A 15,310-nucleotide genomic window follows, 5' to 3' on the forward strand; every position below is an offset into this window, starting at 1 on the left:
AAGCAGGAGGATATCTTGAGGTGAGGAGTTTGAGACCAGCTTGGCCAACACAGAGAGACTATGTTTCTCTTAAAAACATATGAATATATATTTGTGTGTGTACACACACACACACACACACACACACACACACAGCCTAGAGAAGCCAATGCCATCTTTTTGCAATGTAGGAAGAGCCAAGGTGAGAATGAAGTTAACAAAGAAGAAAGCATAGCTCAAAGTGACATCCTAATGACATAGTTTCAGACTCTGAATCTAGCCAACCCTGAAGCTACACAAGTCCAGACTTGTTAGCTGCATAAGCCAATGAATTTCTTTTGGCTTCAACTAGGATCAGTTGCTTGCAACCAAGCATGTCATCAGACATCTGGGTTTCCAATCGTGGGCTTCAGGGAAATAGAGTAACTGAAGCCAAGAAAAGCAAAACTGCAGATAAGGGAGGGCTACTGTGTACTTCATGCTACTGAATTGTACACTTTTAAATGGCTAAAATGGTAAATTTTATGAATGTGTATTTTACCATTTAAAAAATGGTGAGGATGAAGCTTTGGTTGCTTTAAATGTATTTTTTCCCCAAAGAAAGATAGATTATGGTCAAGAAGAACTTTAAATTGGCTGAATTAGGCTTTGTATTTTTTCCCCTAGAATTGCTGTAACTAATTCTGGTCTGAAAATAGGTGAGTACAATACAATAAGATATTTTGAGAGACAGAGCCCACATTAACATAACTTTTATTACAGTAAATTGTTATAATTGTACTATTTTATTATCAGTTATTTCTGTCAATCTCTTACGGTGACTACTATATAATTAAACTTTATCATAGGTATGCACATGTAGGAAAAGACATAGAGGAGAGTCTGGACCCAGAAAAGCCCAATGAGATTTGGCCTTGCTTATACTGAAATTGTGGGCCAGGCGCGGTGGCTCATGCCTGTAATCCCAGCACTTTGGGAGGTTCAGGCAGGTGGATCACAAGGTCAGGAGATCGAGACCATCTTGGCTAACATAGTGAAACCCCGTCTCTATTAAAAATACAAAAAATTAGCCAGGCATGGTGGCGGGCGCCTGTAGTCACAGCTACTCTGGAGGCTGAGGCAGGAGAATGGTGTGAACCCGGAAGGCGGAGCTTGCAGTGAGCCGAGATAGTGCCACGGCAGTCCGGCCTGGGTAACAGAGAGAGACTCCGTCTCAAAAAAAAAAAAAAAAAAAAAGAAAAAAAAGAAATTGTGATTAACCACAGAAAAACTAAGAGTTAACTGGTGGGCTAAGTGTAAATATACCAGTACTAGGAAAAAACTAACTTCAGGCCGGTCACAGTGGCTCACGCCTGTAATCCCAGCACTTTGGGAGGCCGAGGCAGGTGGATTACCTGAGGTCAGGAGTTCAAGACCAGGCTGGCCAACATGGTGAAATCCCATCTCTACTAAAAATACGAAAATTAGCAAGGCATAGTGGCACACACCTGTAATCCCAGCTACTCGGGAGGCTGAGGCAGGAGAATTACTTGAGCCCAGGAGACAGAAGTTGCAGTGAACTGAGATGGTGCCACTGCATTCCAGCCTGGCTGACACAGCAAGACTGTCTCAAAAAATAATAATAATAATAATAACTTCATTTCTACTGAAATATAAAGTTTCATTCCATGATAATTGTAATGAAAGCCACATGTTAACCTATTTTTTTTATGTTGTCTTGGATGGTTAATGGCAACTCTTGTAGTTTTCATGATGAAAACCCTAAGAATGGAAAGAATAACTCCCTGGGCACTTCTAATTATTTACATACAAATTCCCACCCCAACCCACACCACACCCCATGTCCCATGTTTCCTGAGACATTTATCAATATTTGGAAAATGGCACTCTCTCCTACCTTTCAGAAAATTTTCTTTGGCATAATATTGATTCCAGGATGAATTCTGAAGAATGTCACACTGTAACAAGAGTAATAGTGTGTACATATTATAATATTCATTCAATAACCATCAGTAAAAGTTCACTCTAGACAGTAAAGTCACTGCGTTTTTCCTTTGTAAGGTTTGTAAAAGGTTGCTGAATTTGAGAAAGATGAATACACTTAAGAAAAACGGTTGAAAGACAAGCATTATAATTTAGTTCCATTATTATTTTTTAGGAATTTTAATACTTACAGTCAGTAAAACATAATGAATGTTAATAAACCTCCATATACTTTAGAACAGGGGTCCCCAAACTCTGGGCCATGGACAGGTACCCATCTGTGGCCTATTAGGAACCAGGCCACACAGCAGGCAGTAACCATTACTGCCTGAGCTCCGCCTCCTGTCAGATCAGTGGCTGCATTAGATTGTCATAGGAGCATGAACCCTATTGTGAACTGCGGATGCGTGGGATTTAGGTTGTGGCTTCTTATCAGAATCTAATACCTTATGATCTGCAGTTTTCTAGAACAGCTTCATCCCGAAACCATCAACCCTCCCCATCTCCATCCATGGAAAAATTGTCTTCCACAAAACAGATCCCTGGTGCCAAAAATGTTGGGGACTGCTGCTTTAGAAAATTTAATTCATATCCACCCTTCCCACTTAAATTTTAATGAATTTAACCATCACCCCTTTTATGAATGCAGAAAGTTAGTCTCTTGTCCTCTTATTATTGATTTGTGAAATAAAGTGCCAGTTTTCTTCCATGAATAATTACAGAATATTCTAATTAAAGGAGTGCTTATTTAGTCTACCACTATACTTAAAAGGTACTTATTTAGTCTACCATCTTATTTAAAGGATGAAGGAAAAGGCCCAAATTTGTTTAGGGTCACAACCTGTTAGTGGGCAGGTTTAGACCTTACGTCTAAGATAGATGTAAGACAGACGATAAGCTCAAGATATTTTCTAATCATTTAGAGTGTGTTGCAGAGAATAGAGATAGGTTAGGAAGATAACAATATAACCAACTATTTGCTCTTCATGTTTAGTTTGAGATAACGGAAATCATTCTCTTGGACATACTTTCTTATCTTTATCTCTCATTTCAAACTAGTTAACAACCCGTTGGCCACCAGGATCTAAGGTGACAATGATAGGGAATGAGTTCATGACCTGGCTTAAATTTTTAATTACTGTCAAAAATACCAGCAATACACATACTAAAAACAAAAACAAAAGCAAAAAAGCCATTAATTTATTTTACCCACTTCAATTCCATCCATCATCTACTTTTAGGCCCCATTATTTAAAATGAAATACATAAGCACGTGAATCTTCAGAGGATGGGTAATTTCATGTTCCAACGGAACAATAAAAAACTCATAATCGGCCAGGCACGGTGGCTCACACCTGTAATCCCAGCACTTTGGGAGGCCAAGGCGGGCGGGTCACGAGGTCAAGATCTTGATCGAGACTATCCTGGCCAACATGGTGAAACCCCGTCTCTACTAATAATACAAAAATTAGCTGGGTGTCGTGGCACGCGCCTGTAGTTCCAGCTACTCGGGAGGCTGACGCAGGAGAATCGCTTGAACCTGGGAGGCAGAGGTTGCAAGTGAGCCGAGATCGCGCCACTGCACTGGAGCCTGGCGACAGAGCGAGACTCCGGATCAAAAAAAACCAAAACCAAAACCAAAAAAAAACCTATCAAAGTGACTTTGAAATTTGTGTATAAACACTGATATACATCTTTTAATACTTTGCTTTTCACTTTTATGCCTCCAGGTTACTACAGCTAAGAAGAGAAAACATATACATATGAGTGTGTGTACACACACACACACGCATATAACTTTTTAAAATTCAGAAGTTGAAAGGTCCAGAACGATAGTAAGAAACTAACGTAGAATAGCCACAGGTGATTAATAACACGTTTCATGAAAGGCACATGGAAATAAATGGCAACAAAAGCTACTTTCATGGTAATCTCACATCCCACGAATACTGAAATGAAAATCGCCGCGGCAATGGACTGTGGTTCAGGTGGAACACGTTCTCGTTCGCTAAGGAGATTGATGCTTTTCATCTAAAAGCAGCGCTCATGGCGAAGAGGCTTAAGGCCACAAAACCGTGGGACAGCAGGAGGAAGAGAAGCCAGGTATCTCCACTCCAGCTGCCCTGCCTCAGACTCCTCAGTTTCGCACGTGAGGATCGTCTTGCAGGCACTGACTGGAGATGGAATCCTAAAGCATAGGTGAAGCGGAAATCCTCCTTCAGGGAGAGCCCACTGAGGAAGCCAGCGGCTAGCACGAGGCAGGACAGGATACCTCCCTCTTCGCCCACGGCGGCCTCTCTGTCATAGTAGCCACCGTTCTGCCACTCATGCAGCTTTCTAAGACACCTCTCGGTTCCCCAGCGCTTTCAGTGGGGCGGCCGGCCATTCCCGAGGGTTGCAAGAGGAGGCCCGGGGTGCTGAGCCAGCCTCGCTGCCCCCGCGTAGAAAGCCGGCCCGCCGGCGAGAGCCAGCCTAAGGCGCGGACAACCAACGAGGTGTCAGGCTCGGCAGGGGATTGCTTCTGTCTGGGGCCCGGCCGAGGTTGCGTTCGTGCCTCGCGCGCACACGCTCCGCGTTCACTCAGCCAATCCGGTGCTACTCGCGCGCCCAGGAGCGATCCGCGGTCCTACTCAGGCTGGGCCGGCTCCTTCCCGCTCCCAATACTCAGCACCCGAGCTCTCACTCCTCCCCTCACTCTCCACGAGTTCCACGCCTAGGGGTGTAGCTCCGCCCTTGTCCCCGAGTCCGCCCCCGCAACCTCCAGAGCGTGTGCTATCCTTTCCTCTCAGTCCTGCCATCTAGCTGCCTTGGGTCTCGCGCTCCGCAGAGCGTTCCGACACTCTCCGGCCTCGTTCTGCCGCCTCCGCGCGCTCTCCCCGTGCGGCCACCGCGCCCCCCAAGCTTGCCTCCTTCTTGCCGGACTTGGGGCCGCGCGCCCTGACTCCTTCCCCTCCCGCGGACCCGCGCACTCCCGGCGCGGCCTCTCCCCCACGCAGGCCACCGTGCACTCTGTGGCCTCCCCCTCCTTCCCCGCTCTCCTCGCGCTTCTCTGGCTCCCTAGCTGTCGCGCTCTCCTCGGCGAGCGCGCTCCCGGCCCGCGCGCTCCGGGCTCCGGTTTCTCCCGGCTCCTGTCAGTGCGGTGACTGCGCTGGGAAACATGGCGACCGAGGGAATGATCCTTACTAACCACGACCATCAAATCCGTGTCGGAGTCCTTACAGGTAACCGGGGGAGGAGGTCTGGGACCTATGAGGCTGCTGTCCCTGCATTGCCTTAGGCTTTTCGCCTGTGGTGGCCCTTCTCTGCGGCCTCGGGAGGAGGGAAGGCTGAAGAAGGGAACCGCGGGGGTGCATTTTACAACCGCTGAGAACCGCCGGAGATTGGGGGTGTTCCCGCGGGTCCCCTCCCCCAGGCCCCAGGAGCCGGGGTCGACCCCGTGGGATGTTAGGCCCCAGCGCCTTCGGAAGCAAAGTCCTGGGCCCCCGGGGACCGAGGGGCCGGTGCGGAGGGCGCTGCGGGGCTCCGCGCTGTCGGTGCAGGCGGCGGGATCCCGGCTCCGCAGTCTGAAGCATGCCGCTCTCGGCTGGCCTGGGCGCATCCTCCGCTAGTGCTCTTCAGAGAGAGGGGGGAATCCCATCTCCACCCCCTTCCTCTCCTTCCCTTCCCCCCACCTGGGCGGCCCCACGCCAGTATCTGTGCTTGCCTGGACGAGACTCAGGTGTTAATCAGATGAAACTGCTCCTCCTCGGGTTGTCCCTCGCGGGCCGGGCGTCCCCTCAGCCACCCATGGGGCACCCTTCGCCTCCCTCGGGGGATGGGGGATCGGCTTGCGTCCGGACCTCGGAAAGTGTCTGCCTTCTGCCTTTCCGCGCAAAAGGCCCTCTGTCTGCCTCGTCGTTTCCTTAGCGAGGACGGGCTGCAGCCTGCTGCCGGGGATCCAGCTTTTTACTTGAGAGGGCAGGATTCCCCTACTCGGGCTCCTCTCCCCCTCCTTTCTGGGAACCCCCACCCCGGTAGAGCGTCCCGAGGCTGGTGAGGAGCGCACTTTTCCCGGGTCGCGTTTCCCTCCCTCGCGAAAGCCGTGTGTGTTCTGCATGTCTGATTCCGTTGCGCTGAATTTGGTTAATATCCGTCACTTCGGCGATCGGCAGTTGCTGCAGGGCATGACTTCCAAGATGAACAGCAAGCGGATTTGTAGGGGTTTCTGCTGTGGTTCTGTAATTGGCAAGGTTTATGTGTAATTGAGTGGCGAGACGGGGGTTAAAGAACTATATTTGGAATCTGAGGGCTTAGTTTGGAGTGAAGGAAATCCAAGACTCAGTGATGTGATTTCGGAAAAAGAAGCAGTGTGGACGGGAATCCTAGTGTTTCCCTTACTTCTTTTTTTAATTTTTTCTTTAACTGTCAAATTCTGACAGGTCGAGACGGTGCTCGAGAAGGGACTAAATTGAATAAGACTTGCTTTTATTATTAGGTAGAAAAAAAATGTCTGAGACTGCCGGCAGATATTGAGTGCAAAGCTTAATTTAGCTGCTGAATTTTATGAAAAGGTGATATCCAAAGCCTCCTTTTTTCTCTTTTAAGTAAAGGATTGCCTTTCCCTGGTATTCTTTCCGTATATCGATGGTGATTAATTGAATTTTCCTAATTAAAAGACCCTTGGATAGAGAAACTAGTCTAAACCAGTTGCAGAAAAGGGAACCCCCAAATCAGAAGGTGCGCTGTTCTCTTCTTTTGGTCCTGAAACTGTTTGGGTATGTGAAGATTCAGTTGTATTTCAGAATTCCTGGAGCTGACATTGCCAATTTTCGAATAATCTGATGGTGGGATGTCAAAGTGTATATCTTTTATCTACCCTCAACTTGCACTTTAAATTCCAGCCATTCTTTGACAATAATAGAGTAGTGAGAAACCAAAATATGTCAGTTGTCTGTGGAAATAAAAAAGGCCATAGATGTTTAAAAGTTAAACCGTAGAAACATTTTTAAAATGAACATTTTCTACTTAAGCTTTCCATTAAATAATAGTTTCATTTAACGAATCAACTTACCTTTGTGAAGTGACATAGCAGATAGGTGTTGTACAGACTGCTTTGAAAGATGCAGCCCTTATCTGGTGTCCCTACAGTCTAATATGGATAACATTGATACGCAAACAAATGAAGAAACATTGTATGTAATTATTGTGCAAAACTTTTCTAAATACATTACCTATGAGTTTGGGGTTAACTGCAAAAGAAATTCCGTATTCAGATGGATTAGGAGAGAATGTGACTACCTGAAGGGAGAATTTAATACATTTACTAGGTCAAGAAGAAACTGTCAATTTTAAGGGGAGTTGAAAGTCAGCAGCCACTTTATAAATAAATATATAGTTGATGATGAGGCTTCTGAGCTAAATAAAAATGCAATGTAAAGGCCTTGAAAAGCTGAAGTGGAATGGGTAGGTGGCATAGGTAAAATGTTAGAGAGAAGGTAACATTAACATTGACAGTGGAATTAAAGACAGTCAGGGGAAGCCGTCTCATGAGAATGAGGTACAGTAGTCTAGGGGGAAAAGTCTAGGGCCAGGAACAAGGATGTAGCTGAAGGAATGAAAAGGCAGCTACAGATTTGGAATAAGTGATAATAGAGGAAAATAGGTTTTGATGATAACATGTATATTTGAAGTCAGAAGTAACTCAGGCTTTTTCTTGAAAGTTGTTGATACAGATATTGTCTACTATGATGGAGAGGAAAGAAAACTGATTTTTCTCAAGTCTGTAACTAGTGGGTTTCATTATCAACAGCTTAATTTCTGTGGTCTTGCCTGATATACCATATGATTTGGGGGAAAGAACTTACAAAAATGAAGCTGTGCTGTACAATTTTGTGTATTCTAGAACTTGAGGTTTTGCAGTTTTACTATGTAGAATTATTCTTTACTGAACTGAAGTATTGTGATTTCATACTTAAGAAAGTTGAGTTGAACTGTGGTTTTTGTAAATTATTATTTGTGGCTCTTAAAAGGTGGAGGGTCTCTTTTAGAAAATCTCCTTGGCATGCTTCGTAATACTAATTTTAAGTATTTTATCTATATCTATTTTACAAAGATAGTGGAAAGTGTGATCTACCCACACACACATTTTACAATATGTTACTTAGTATTTTGTGAAGTCATATTGTCATTTCTAAAGTTTTTAATTGACGTTGTGACATTTTTTATTACCTGTTGAAAGATATTTGTTCTTTGAAACTTTTCATCCATTAGATGTTTTCGTTATCTTCATTTCAGTTGTAAATTTGGCAAATTTAGTACATAGTCTGTTGAGACTTCTCATTAAATAAATTAATTGTATTAGGTTTATGAAAGAATAATGGTAGAAAGGGAAATATTTAGCAGAAGCATTTTTTTGCTTCATTATTTTGAATTATTAAGCACTTGAAAATGAGATTATGATAATTAATGTAACATGGATATTCTAATTATACTTTTTTTTAAATCAGGAAAATGAGAACATATATGTATATAAAATAGGCTGTATGTGGAAACATTTTATGTTGAATATTATTGTCCATCTCTAACAACAATAACTTTGTTCGAAACTGTCTTATGTTGACTTGACAGAAATGAAAGTCACATGGTGTTTGGTGACCTAAGGTCTAGTTTGAAATATTTCTGTGTCTAATTAGTTGTCTACTTGTATTACTATTTATAGAAGAGACTAGAGGTAATATGGTAATGAGTAACATGAAGCAAATAAACAAGTATCTGCTACTTGAAAACTAGAAACAGGATGTGGTGCAGATGTAGAATTTTTTTCTAACAGCTTTAGTAGTGATTATACTTGAAGTCAATCTTACCAGTTACATAGCAGGCTCACTATATCTGGAATATGTCACTCTTCACATACTTTTTTCTATTTTGAAAGAAGCTGTTTATCAAAGCAGCATACTAGTTTTACCTGTAAAAGCTCTACAGAAACATTACTAGGAAAATAATGACTACATGTATGTATAGAATGTAGAATCATATAGATTATTCCATTGGCTACTGAATATCGTATTAGTTCGCTACAGCTAATGTTTGATACCAAGGTACTTAGCTGAAGATGATAATCCATTACCTAAATTGTCACTAATAGGGGCATGAATGAGAAAAAGGTACAAATTTTTGGGAAAGGGCATTTTTAAAAATCATATTTTTGCTGTAGTAATATACATTTTAATTGCACTAACCTGTTGATTTGAAATCAGTAAGAGATACTGGAACAAATATAAGACTAGGTACTAGAGATTAGTTAAAAGACTAATTGTAAATGAGAACATCAAAATATTACAGTAACAGGTAGGGAGTATTTCAGTTATTCATAAATGAAGTCATTCAAAGTATTAAAAAAACAAGCTTGAGCCAAGCAGATGCTACTGTCATAACTCTGCAATTGTTTAAGCATTTACTTTTTTACATTCTTGAAACCTGTTCTGGTATATTATGTGTCAATATTATTTTCTGAAAAGCCCATTTATTGATAAGGATATATACATATTATATCTGTTTTGAGAATAGATGTCATTAAGTAGGCAAATTACTATTAAATCCTACTAAGTGGAACTGTATGTTCTGCCTAACTTAGCTGTTTTTTTAATATGTGTTTTTAATATTGATCTATATGACTTGAAAGGAATCCTATTTCTTGAAATAGATTGTTATTTTGTGAATTTTTTGTTGAAAGCAATGTATTAGAGAATTAAATGTTTAGGCAAAGTAGGAAAATGTTAAATTAATTTCTAATGAATATACTTAGTACTATTATCATTGGTCAAAGACTTGAAAAAGTATTAGTTGCTATACAATAAGAATTTTAACTATATTAAAAACACATGTGACAATTTGACTTCAAAGTGAATATACTTAATACTATCATCACTGGCCAAGGACTTGAAAAAGTATTAGTTGCTATACAATAAGAGTTTTAAATACATTAAAAACACATACAACTATTTGACTTCAAGCAGGCATATAGTGGAAAGTCAATAGTATGTTTTTAGGGAGGAAGTGACGAATAAGAGTCTATTTTTAATCTTGCTAGTGATAGATTCCTGGCTAAGTTGAACAGGGTGTTTTTAAAAACAATCAGTAAAATAGATAAAATCTATTACTCTGTTTCTGTAAATAGGATTGAAGAATAATGAAGCATATTTGGAATTTGAAAGGTATTAAAAAAAGATCCTGAAAAAGAAAGTAGTGAAACCACAAAGGATTTCTTCCTTCACATCTGGGCAGAGAAGATAAATACCAAGGAAGAAGAAAAGATTGTTTAACCTACTTAAAAGTAATTGGGACTGTAGTCAATATGAATGGCATCTAATCTCACTTTCATTAAAAAGTTTTTTTGAGTGACCTCTCAAAAAGGAAATGTTTAATGAAGTATTGCTAGGTAGAAGTTCTATCCAGGTTCTTTAATGAATTTATAAACTAAATTGTTTTTAATAAATTAATTTTAACTAAGTAGAGCTTCTTGAAAATTTTGTGTTTAAACAACCCCAACAATTTTAACAGTAGCTTTGTCAGTATTTATACATTTCGAAAGAGTGTAATTAAATTTACCATGCTTTAAAAAGAATTCTTAATTTGAAAAATAAAGCAGCAAGGAAATGAAATATGATGAAGGAATTGTCACCATAATTTGGGGCATTCTTCTCAAACTGGAGTACATGACATTGTGTCAAGGGATACCTATAAGGCTTAGAATCTAAGCCACAGGAACAAACATAATAATTTTTTAAGTACCAATTTTACTTGATGGTATTAATTTAAATAACTTTAATATTAAGATAAGCATAAGTAAATTAGGCACAAAGTATAGAATTCATATGAGGCTTTAAGATGAAATTAGAAACTTCAAAGAAATTTCAAGTGAGCCCATTATATTTCAAGTGAGCTCCAGATCTCGTCATTCTTCTGCGTTATTGACACTTCATGGCAAAAAATTTAAGGAGCACTGAATCATAGAAAGAACACTGTAAGAACTATGTTCTCATACTATTCTGGCTAGTAAAGTTTTGTAACCTTCAGTATATTGTGTAACCCTCTCTCAGCTTTTCTTACCACTAAAATGAAGAAATCACTCTCTAAGATCACTTCAAGGCTCTCATGGCAGTATATGTTTCTATCTTTTAGCATTCTGACCAGCAGGAAAGAGAAATATAGGATATTAGACCTAGTTAATTTTTTTCTGTCTTTATAATGGGAATGATTATAGGGGAGGGTAGGTTATACATAAAAATGCAAGAGAATAAGAAATAGAATAATGATCAAAGAAGGAAAATATTTAGATTTTTTATTTAGAAATTTTTGTGACATTAATCTTTCTGTTATTAGCAATCTTACACTTAGGTTTCAGACACAGCTCAGGACTGACTTTGTCAATAAAATATTTCCTAGGAATTATTCTCTTCAATGATGTCTTTCTTTGTTTTCCTTACAACGTTTATAAATGTTGTCTATACCCTGTAATCTATATGTGGGAGGCTGCATGGTGTAGCTTAAAAAGGATAGAACTTTGGAGTCAGATAGACTTGGACTTCAGACCCTCATTTGCCCTTTATTTTGGGAAGTCATTTCACCTCTCTGAATTTCAGTTTTCTTCTCCGAAATGAAGATGGCAATATCTACTTTACAAAGTTTTCAGAACTAATAGAGGTAACGCATATGAAAATGCCTAGCATTTTCAGATGAGATACTCAGTTATTTTTGGTTCCTTCCTCTTTGTATGTTGCTTTGGGAGCAACTTGCCACAGTTTCGTGTATACATGTCTTATTCAAAGTAGATTTTAAAGTTCTTGAGATATATGGTTATGTTCTTTACTTCTTTTGTGCCCTTTTGTCATAGCATCTGTTAATGAAGTAATTGGATAGAAGGTGTTTAATAAAAAAATTGGGTGGTGTAAAATTTATATAGTACCTTAAGAAACATTTAGGTAAACCAGAACTTGGCTATTATTACTAAAAGGATAGTTTAGGGTAGATGGAGTGAAGTTGATTAGTTTTTAAAAGGTATGTTTTTCTGGTAATAGGATGATATTTATAACGATGTGTGTTTGAGATGTTTTATAGCATTAAATTTTGTATATTGTTTTAGTTGGGTGTTGTTTGTGTGAGGATAATTTTAGACTAATGAAATTTGATATCTAAAAACTAAAAATTTGAAATTATAGGTAAAAAAATTCTGAAAATGCTGTTAATGTTGATTCTGGTGATCAAAATAACACTGTTAGGAGTCAAAAGTTATGCCTCTTCTCCCACTTTCAAGATAAGCACATTTTACCACAGTTTCCTTACCTTTAAATGGGGGTAAGTGTGTTTACCTTGATGGGTTAATGTGAGAAATGAAATAATGTATTCAGTATTCAACACCTACTATGTACCAAGGCCCTGTGCTAAGTGAAGGATACAATAGTGATTAAGACAGTTCAATCTTTCTTGTCTTGAAGCATATATTCTAGCACTACTGTGAAAACATTATTCAGTCAAGTTGAATATTGACACATTCATGCTTCATTTATGTTTCAAGGAATAAGGTGCTTTTATATTTTATTTTTTAAGTAGATAACAAGTACAAGCACCAAAACTGTTTTTATGTCAAGCCATTTTTTTGATACACATTTTTTTTTTTTTGAGACGGACTCACTCTGTCGCCCAGGCTGGAATGCAGTGGTGCGATCTCAGCTTGCTGCAACCTCTGCCTCCCGGGTTCAAGTGATTCTCCTGCCTCAGCCTCCCGAGTAGCTGGGATTACAGGCGCCTGCCACCATGCCTGGCTAATTTTTTTTTTTTTTTTGTATTTTTAGTAGAGACAGAGTTTTACCATGTTGGCCAGGCTGGTTTTGGACTCCTGACCTCAAGTGATCTACCTGCCTTAGCCTCCCAAAGTGCTGGGATTACAGATGTGAGCCACCGTGCCTGGCCAGCAATTATATTTCTACATTCTATTCTGAATATCTGTTACTGTGACATGATAGTATGTTTCCATAACGTATATGCTTTTCAGGTTTTACCCACTTGCCCTTCCTCTTCCTGCCCTGCCCTTCTAATCTACTATATCCTTGGGAACCACATAAACTTGCTAAGAATTATTTGTGATATTACATCCAGTTAGATTTGAAGTGAGGGTCTAAAGGCACATATTTTCACTTTTGGGTTCAGGGCATCAGAAAATGAGTGGATATTACTATAATAAATAGCTTTATTTCTTTGTATAGTACTTCACGATTTCAGGATCATGGCTAAATGTGTCTGCCTGATGCTGTAAATGTTAATAAAAATCCACTCTATGAGTGAAAGAGATTAAGTGCAATTTGAATGCTAAGTAAAAATGAAATGTTTCTTTTAATTATTTCTTGTTCTTTTAAAAAACACATTAATGTGCACTTGAAATTAATAATCTTTAAAGTCTAATTAATGGTTAAGAACTGTTGGATATCTTATAAATAAGAAACTGAGCCAGGCACAGGGGCTCACGCCTGTAATCCCAGCACTTTGGGAGGCTGAGGCGGGCAGATCACGAAGTCAGGAGATTGAGACCATCCTGGCCAACATGGTGAAACCCCACCTCTACTAAAAATATGAAAATTAGGCAGGCATGGTGGTGTGTGCCTGTAATCCCAGCTACTCGGGAGTGAGGCAGGAGAATCACTTGAACCCCTGAGGCAGAGATTGTAGTGAGCCAAGACTGTGCCACTGTACTCCAGCCTGGCCACACAGTGAGACTCCATCTCAAAAAAAAAAAAAAAAAAAAAAAAAAGAAGAAACTGAATAGAGTAAAAATACTATTTTCAGATGTAAAAAGATGAAGGAACATTTACACGGTGGTGCCCCCCTCTTCACTTTCACCTAAGAGTCTATACAGAACATTTTGATTATAGTCTAAACTTTAAAAATTATGCTTTCATAAAATTAACATCCACATTGTAGAAGTTACGTTTGGATTAAACTGCAAGTGGGCACTACCCAAAGCAATCTACAGATTCAATGCAGTCCTATCAATGACATTCTATACCAATGACATTCTTCACAGAAATAGGGAAAAAAAAGTTAAAATTTGTATGGAACCATAAAGGACCTGGAATAGCCAAAGCAATCCTGAACAAAAAGGACAAAGCTGGAGACATCATACTATCAGACTTTAAAATATACTACAGAGTGATAGTAACCAAAACAGCATGGTACTGGTGTAAAAACAGACACATAGACCAAAGGAACAGAATCGAGAACCCAGAAATTAATCCTCATATCTACAGCCAACTGAGTTTTGAGAAAGGTCCCAGGAACATTTGCTGATGAAAGGACAGTATCTTCAAGAAATGTTTCTGGGAAAAAGGATATCCATATGCAGAAGAATGAAACTAGAGCCCCACCTCTTATTCTGTACAAAAATTAACTCAAAATGAATCAAAGACCTACATGTAAGACAGGAAACTATGGAACTGCTAGAAGAAAACATAGGGGAAATGTTTCAGGACATTGGTCTGGGAAAAAATTTTATAAATAAGACCTCAAAAGCACAGGCAAAAAAAGCAAAAATAAACAAGTGGATTATAGTAAACTAAAAAGCTTTTATACAGCAAAGGAAATAACCAACAGAATGAAAGGCAGCCTATAGAATGGGAGAAAATATTTGCAAACTGTTCATCTGACGGGGGATTAATATCTAGGATATACAAGAAACTCAAACATCTTAACAGCCAAATAAATAAATAAATAAATAAATAAATAACCCAGAAAAAAACAAAACAAAAAAAACCCTGCAAAAAATGCAATCTGATTAAAAAAAGATGGGATATTTCTCAAAAGAAGACATACAAATGGCCAAAAAATACATTAAACAATGTTCAGCATCATTAATCATCAGGAAAATGCAAATCAAAACCACAGTGAGGTATTCTCTTACCCCAGTTAGGATCACTGTTATCAAAAAGACAAAGAATGACAAATGCTGCCAAGGATGTAGAGAAAAGGGACCTCTTATATACTGTTAATAGGAATGTAAACAAGTACAGCCACTATGGAGAACAGTATAGAGGTTCTTTAAAGGACTACAGATAGAACTACCATATGATCCATCAATTTCACCACTCGGCACTTACCCAAAGAAAAGGAAATCAGTATATGGAAGAGACACGTGTACCATATTTACTGCAGCACTGTTCACAATAGCTAAGATATAGACTCAATCTAGGTGTCCAACAGCAGATTAATGGGCAAAGAAATTATGGTATATATGCATAATGGAATACTGTTCAGCCATAAAGAATGAAATCCTATCATTCATGGCAACATGGATGGAACTGAAGGACATTATATTAAGTGA

General features: G+C 39.5%; 1 protein-coding gene across 20 annotated transcripts in view, besides 4 other annotated features; it reads left to right on the plus strand.

Annotated features, from left to right (window-relative positions):
- GPHN (gephyrin) overlaps positions 4,739-15,310 on the plus strand; it is a 1,227,209-nt gene continuing 1,216,637 nt past the window's right edge. For all 20 annotated transcript variants that reach the window (XM_047430879.1, XM_011536340.4, XM_017020913.3 and 17 more), the window contains exon 1: positions 4,739-5,183. In XM_047430879.1, coding sequence (XP_047286835.1) covers positions 5,120-5,183 — 64 coding nt within the window. In that variant the 5' untranslated portion in view covers positions 4,739-5,119. The remainder of the gene's footprint in view (positions 5,184-15,310) is intronic.
- Positions 4,784-4,973: a silencer, noted in NCBI's record as "silent region_5853". NCBI's record gives its function as "represses an Ori minimal core promoter by ATAC-STARR-seq in GM12878 lymphoblastoid cells {active_cell/tissue: GM12878}" and the evidence as "EXISTENCE:reporter gene assay evidence [ECO:0000049][PMID:35858748]".
- Positions 5,324-5,473: a silencer, noted in NCBI's record as "silent region_5854". NCBI's record gives its function as "represses an Ori minimal core promoter by ATAC-STARR-seq in GM12878 lymphoblastoid cells {active_cell/tissue: GM12878}" and the evidence as "EXISTENCE:reporter gene assay evidence [ECO:0000049][PMID:35858748]".
- Positions 5,564-5,723: an enhancer, noted in NCBI's record as "active region_8568". NCBI's record gives its function as "activates an Ori minimal core promoter by ATAC-STARR-seq in GM12878 lymphoblastoid cells {active_cell/tissue: GM12878}" and the evidence as "EXISTENCE:reporter gene assay evidence [ECO:0000049][PMID:35858748]".
- Positions 5,974-6,023: an enhancer, noted in NCBI's record as "active region_8569". NCBI's record gives its function as "activates an Ori minimal core promoter by ATAC-STARR-seq in GM12878 lymphoblastoid cells {active_cell/tissue: GM12878}" and the evidence as "EXISTENCE:reporter gene assay evidence [ECO:0000049][PMID:35858748]".

This window comes from Homo sapiens, chromosome 14, assembly GCF_000001405.40.
Source record: "Homo sapiens chromosome 14, GRCh38.p14 Primary Assembly".
In the NCBI taxonomy this organism is placed as follows: Eukaryota; Metazoa; Chordata; class Mammalia; order Primates; family Hominidae; genus Homo; species Homo sapiens.